General features: G+C 45.5%; 1 protein-coding gene across 1 annotated transcript; it reads left to right on the top strand.

Annotated features, from left to right (window-relative positions):
* The first annotated feature begins 359 nt into the window (after window positions 1-359).
* LOC102724737 (40S ribosomal protein S8-like) lies at window positions 360-1,037 on the top strand. Its single transcript, XM_047433400.1, has one exon. It carries the CDS (start codon window positions 360-362, stop codon window positions 909-911), a length of 552 nt encoding a protein of 183 aa, XP_047289356.1. The 3' UTR covers window positions 912-1,037.
* Window positions 1,038-6,000: the final 4,963 nt, after the last annotated feature.

Genomic DNA, 6,000 nt, shown 5'->3' with positions numbered 1-6,000 from the left:
TCACACGCTCAATGGTTAGATCTTGGGAAGGAATCAAAGAAGCCATTGTAAAATATCAAAATTTAAACCCTGATTTTGAATTTAAAATGTGTTAACATATGGTTGTGGCCTACACTCAGAAAATCTGTCTCCTTCAGATGGTGTCTCAGTAGCACCACATGGTTTCAAGTGGCTATTCATTAAATTTCTCCATGAAACTACCAGATACAGAATAGATAAATTGTCACTGTCTTAAATCAACCCTTGGGAAAGGAAAACTGTGTAAAGACAGCAGAGAGGAAACATTGTTCAAGGGAAAAACAATCTCCAGAAACTGTTGTTAAAGAAACAGAGGCCCTCTTTCCAGCCAGTGCCGAGCGATGGACATCTCTTGGGACAACTGGCACAAGTGCCACAAAACCAGGGACAAGAGAAAGCCCTACCACAAGAAGCGGAAGTATGAGTTGGGGCACCCAGCTGCCAACACCAAGACTGGCCCCCGCCGCATCCACACAGTCCGTGTGTGGGGAGGTAACAAGAAATACTGTGCCCTGAGGCTGGACGTGAGGAATTTCTCCTGGGGCTCAGAATGTTGTGCTCATAAAACAACGATCATCGATGTTGTCTACAATGCATCTAATAACGAGCTGGTTCGTCCCAAGACCCTGGTGAAGAATTGCATTGTGCTCATTGACAGCACACTGTACCGACAGTGGTACGAGTCCCACTATGCGCCGCCCCTGGGCTGCAAGAAGGGAGCCAAGCTGACTCCTGAGGAAGAAGAGATTTTGAACAAAAAGCGATCTAAAAAAATTCAGAAGAAATATCATGAAAGGAAAAAGAATGCCAAAATCAGCAGTCTCCTGGGGGAGCAGTTCCAGCAGGGCAAGCTTCTTGCATGCATTGCTTCAAGGCCAGGACAGTGTGGCTGAGCAGATGGGTATGTGCTAGAGGGCAAAGAGTTGGAGTTCTATCTTAGGAAAATCAAGGCCCGGAAGGGCAAATAAATCCTTGTTTTGTCTTCACCCATGTAATAAAGGTGTTTATTGTTTTGTTCCAAAAAAAAAAGAGAAACAGAGGCATCACACTTACTAGAAAAACATATTCTATTTCATATATTATGGTGGTATGACGTGATGTTTTGACATATGCAGGCATTGTGAAATTATTAAATCAAGTAAATAAACATGCCCATCACCTCACATACTTATTTTTTATGGTGTAAACGTGTAAAATCTACTCTATTATCAGTTTTCAAGTATATAGTACATTAGTACCATGGAAGTCACCCTGCTGTGCAATAGATCTTCAAACTAATTCCTTCTGTCAAACCAAAACTCTGTACCCTTTCACCAATGCCTCAGCTTTCACATGCCCCTGACACCAGCCCCTGGTTGGCACCATTCTTCTCTCTACTTCTCTGAGTTCAACATTTTTAGATTGCATGTGTAAGTGAGATTATGGAGTAATTTTTTATACCTGGCTTATTTCACTTAACATAAAGAGTCAAATGCTCAACATCACTAATCATCAGGGAAATGCAAATTAAAACCACGATGAGATATCACCTCACACATGTTACAATGGCTTAGTCTCAGTCTGTCTTTGTGTTACTATAACCGAATACCAGAGACTGGGCAATTTCTAAAGAAAAGGAATTTATACTTTATGGTGCTTGAGTCAGAGAAGTCTAATATCAAGGCACTGACATCTCACAAGGGCCTTCTCACTGTGTCGTCTCACAGCAGAGGTGGGTGAGCAAGAGATCATTTGTCCACGAGAGAAAGGAGACTATCTTTTATTAGAAATTCACTCCTGTAATAACTAACCCACTCCAATGACAGTGACATTAATCCATTCATGAGGACAGAGCCTTCATGACCTAATCACATAATAAAGGTCCCACCTCTCAACACTGTTGCATTAAAGATTTTTTCCAAATCCTAAACTTTGGGAGACACATTTAAGTCATAGCATTCCATTCCTAATATCAAAATTTATGTCCTTATCACAATGCAAACTACATTCATTCCATCCCAATTGTCTCCAAAGTCTTATCCAGCATCAGTGCAAAAGTCTGAAGTCTAAAGTCTCATCTAAATCAGATGTGAGTGTGACTCAAGGCACAATTTAGCCTGATATAAATTTTTTCCATCTGTGAGCCTATAAAGTCAAAACAAGTTATCTACTTTCAAATACAGTGAACAATGGGGCAGGTATGGGATAGAAATTCCCATTCCAAAGCTCAGAGACAGGGAAGGAGAAAGCAGTGCCTAGTTCAAAACCCAACAGAGGAAAAAAACATTAAGTCTTATAGCTGAGACTTAATGTTTTTTTCCCTTGTTGGGTTTTGAACTAGTTCAACCATTGTAGAAGTCCTTGTGGTGATTCCTCAGGGATCTAGAACTAGAAATACCATTTGACCCAGCCATCCCATTACTGGGTATATACCCAAAGGACTATAAATCATGCTGCTATAAAGACACATGCACACATATGTTTATCGCAGCACTATTCACAATAGCAAAGACTTGGAACCAATCCAAATGTCCAACAACGATAGACTGGATTAAGAAAATGTGGCACATATACACCATGGAATACTATGCAGCCATAAAAAATGATGAGTTCATGTCCTTTGTAGGGACATGGATGAAATTGGAAATCATCATTCTCAGTAAACTATCGCAAGAACAAAAAACCAAACACCGCATATTCTCACTCATAGGTGGGAACTGAACAATGAGAACACATGGACACAGGAAAGGGAACATCACACTCGGGGGACTGTTGTGGGGTGGGGTGAGGGGGGAGGGATAGCTTTAGGAGATATACCTAATGCTAAATGACGAGTTAATGGGTGCACACACCAGCATGGCACATGTATACATATGTAACTAACCTGCACATTGTGCACATGCACCCTAAAACTTAAAGTATAATAAAAAAAAGTCTTATAGCTGGAAAATCATCCTCTTTGACGGCATCTTGTGCACACTGGGGAGGGGGAAGGGCCCCCAAGGCCTCCAGCAGTCTTGCCTCTATGGATTTTCTGGGTTCAGTCCACTCAGCCCCTCTCACAGGTGGGACTCTCAGGCCTCTAGCTCTCCTAGGCTGACTGGAAACTCTTTGTGGTGCCTCCAAACCCATATTTCTGCTTGGCATTGTGCTAAGGGTCCAGTGTGGTGACTCTGTCTCTGCAACAACTCACTGCCCGAGACCTTAGGCTGTCCACAGCATTCTTTGAAATCTAGGTGGAGAAAGCCATGCCCTCGTGGTATTCTGCACACCTGCAGAATTAGCAATACATGGATGCCATGGAAGTTGATGACTTGTACCATTAAAGTGATGGCTTGAGCCACACCTAGGTCCTCCTGAGCCACATCATGGGCAGCCAAGGAGTGCTGTGCCTGGACACAGGGAACAGAGTCCTAAAGTGCCTGCTAGAAGTGAGGCCATAGATTTGCTTCAAATTTCTCCCACCATATATCCTCACTCATGGCTCTGAACTTCCACTTTACAGAAAGACCTAGGGATGAGCACAATTCAGCCACATTCCTTGCCACTTTAAGGGAAGGATGGCCTTTGCTCCATTTTCCGATGAGCTATTCTTCTTTTTCTCCTGAGACCTCATCAGAACGGCCTTTATTGTCCACGGTTCTACCAACATTCTAATGATCATCACCTAAATAATCTCTAAGAAGTTTCAGAATTTCCTCACAGCTGTCTTCTTCTGAGTCCTCAAAAGAATACCCCTAGTGTTCTAGTCATGGCAATCTAGACTTTTTATAACCTGATCCTCCAAATTATTCCAGTCTCTGTGCATTACTACTTCCACTTCTACATTTTGGGATATTTGTTATCACAACAGCCCCACCTCTTGATACTGATTTTTTGTCTTAGTCCACTTTGTGGTGCAATGAGTGAATACCACACACTGGCTAATGTGTAAGGAAAAGAAATTTATTTTCTCCCAGCTCTAGAGGCTGGGAAGTCAATGTCAAGGTGCTAGCATCTGGCAAGAGCCTTCTTGCTGTGATGCCCATGTGGAAGGCAGGAGAGCATGTGCAAAGGATGGAAAGGGGGCTAAACTCATTTTTTAATGAGGAACCCAGGCCTGTAGTAACTAATCTGCTACCACAATAAGTAACCTACTCTGATGATAATGGCATTAATTGCTTCATGAGGGCAGAGCCCTCTCGGCCTAATCATTTCTTAACATTCTCACCTCTGGACACTATGGAATTTGGGATTAAGTTTCCAATACACACCCTTTCTAAACAGCAGGGGCTTTTTAATAGGTTTACCACCCAAGGCTGCAGGAGGCTCTGAAGTAGTGGGTGGCTGTCCTTTGTGAGAATGGAGAGAAGTGAACTGACTGATGGAGACACAAGTAGATGAAGTAAAGGCATTCATTGCTTCATTACATGGATGGTGAGGGCGATTGAAGGCATTAACGGATTAAAGATGGTGGCAAAACCATCTGAGGTGGAGACCACGGGGAGCCCATCAGAAATGGAGGACACGTCCCAATAAATGGTGCTTCATTTCCCTGCAAAGCAGATGAAAGCAAAGAAGAAAACACAATGCCATAGTGTACACTGAGCAGTGGATTGAGAGAAGAGTTTCCTAAGGCGTAACTGACAGAGTGGAGAAGACACACGAATCTTTGCATGGTGCTAACATTTGGACTGTGGCTTCATTATTTCTTATTAATATTTTACTGAAATATCACTAGAAGGAGACTGAAAATGAAGTGTGAAAAGTTAAATGGGATTTCTGCTCTAAGTCCTTTTCAGATGAGAGGAACTGGGGAATTCCAGGGAAGAAACAATAATAGCTGCTGAGCAAGGCTTTTGCAGGGCAGGACAAGGAATCCCCAAAGAGAAAACGGAAACCTCAGCTTCACTTTGCATCTGCTCCTGAGCCAGGTCTTGAGCGACCCCTGTAGGTCCTGAGCGCCCCCGGTAGGTTCTGAGCATTCCGTGGTTGCTGGGCGCCCTCTGGTGGTGTCTGAGCCCTTCTGGTGGTTTCTGAGCCCCCCTCTTAGAGTCTGAGCCACCCTATTAGTGTCTGAGCCACCCTATTAGTGTCTGAGGACCCTGGTGGTGTCTGAGCACAGGTGAGCTCCTCTGAAGGAAGGGTCTACATGGGGACAGGCGTGCTTGTCTCAGGGAAGGGTCCACATGGGGACAGGTGAGCTCATCTGAGGGAAGGGTCCATGTGGGGACAGGTGTGCTTGTCTGAAGGAAGATTCCACATGGAGACAGCTGTGCTTGTCTCAGGGAAGGGTCCACATGGGGACAGGTGAGCTCGTCTGAGGGAAGGGTCCATGTGGGGACAGGAGTGCTTGTCTCAAGGAAGGGTCCTCACGTGGACAGGTGTGCTCTTTTGAGGGAAGGATTGACCTGGGGACAGGCATGCTTGTCTGAGGTAAGGGTCCACCTGGGGACAGGTGTGATTCCCTCAGGGAAGGGTCCACGTGGGGACAGAGGTGCTTGTCTAAGGCAAGAATCCACGTAGCGACAGGTGAGTTCGTCTCAGGGAGGGGTCCAGGTGGGGCGAGTTGTGCTTATCTGAGAGAAGCATCGAAGTGGGGACAGGTGTGCTTGTCTCAAGGAAGGGTCCACGTGGGGACAGGTGTGGTAGTCTCAGGGAAGGGCCCACATGGGGACAGGTGTGCTCATCCGAGAGAAGGGTCCATGTAGGGACAGGTGTGCTTGTCTCAGGGAAGGGTTCATGGGGACAGGTGAGCTTGTCTGAAGGATGGGTCCACATGGGGACTGGTGTGCTCCTCTGAGGGAAGGGTCCACGTGGTGACAGGTGAGTTTATCTGAAGGAAGGGTCCACATGGGGACAGTTATGCTCCTCTGAGGGAAGGGTCCATGTGGGGACAGGTGTGCTTGTCTCAGGGAAAGGTCCACGTGGGGACAGGTGTGCTCGCCTTGGGGAAGAGGACAGATGAGCTCATCTCAGGGAAGGGGCCACGTGGGGACAGGTGTGTTTGTCTCAGGGAAGGGT

This window comes from Homo sapiens, chromosome 15, assembly GCF_000001405.40.
Source record: "Homo sapiens chromosome 15, GRCh38.p14 Primary Assembly".
Lineage (NCBI taxonomy): Eukaryota > Metazoa > Chordata > Mammalia > Primates > Hominidae > Homo > Homo sapiens.
The sequence above is the reverse complement of the archived record's forward strand: the minus strand, read 5'-3'. Positions and strand labels throughout refer to the sequence as shown.

Bases quoted from the DNA above. Each gene is read 5' to 3' on its own strand.
- LOC102724737 (XM_047433400.1), top strand. From the start codon at position 360: ATGGACATCTCTTGGGACAACTGGCACAAGTGCCACAAAACCAGGGAC.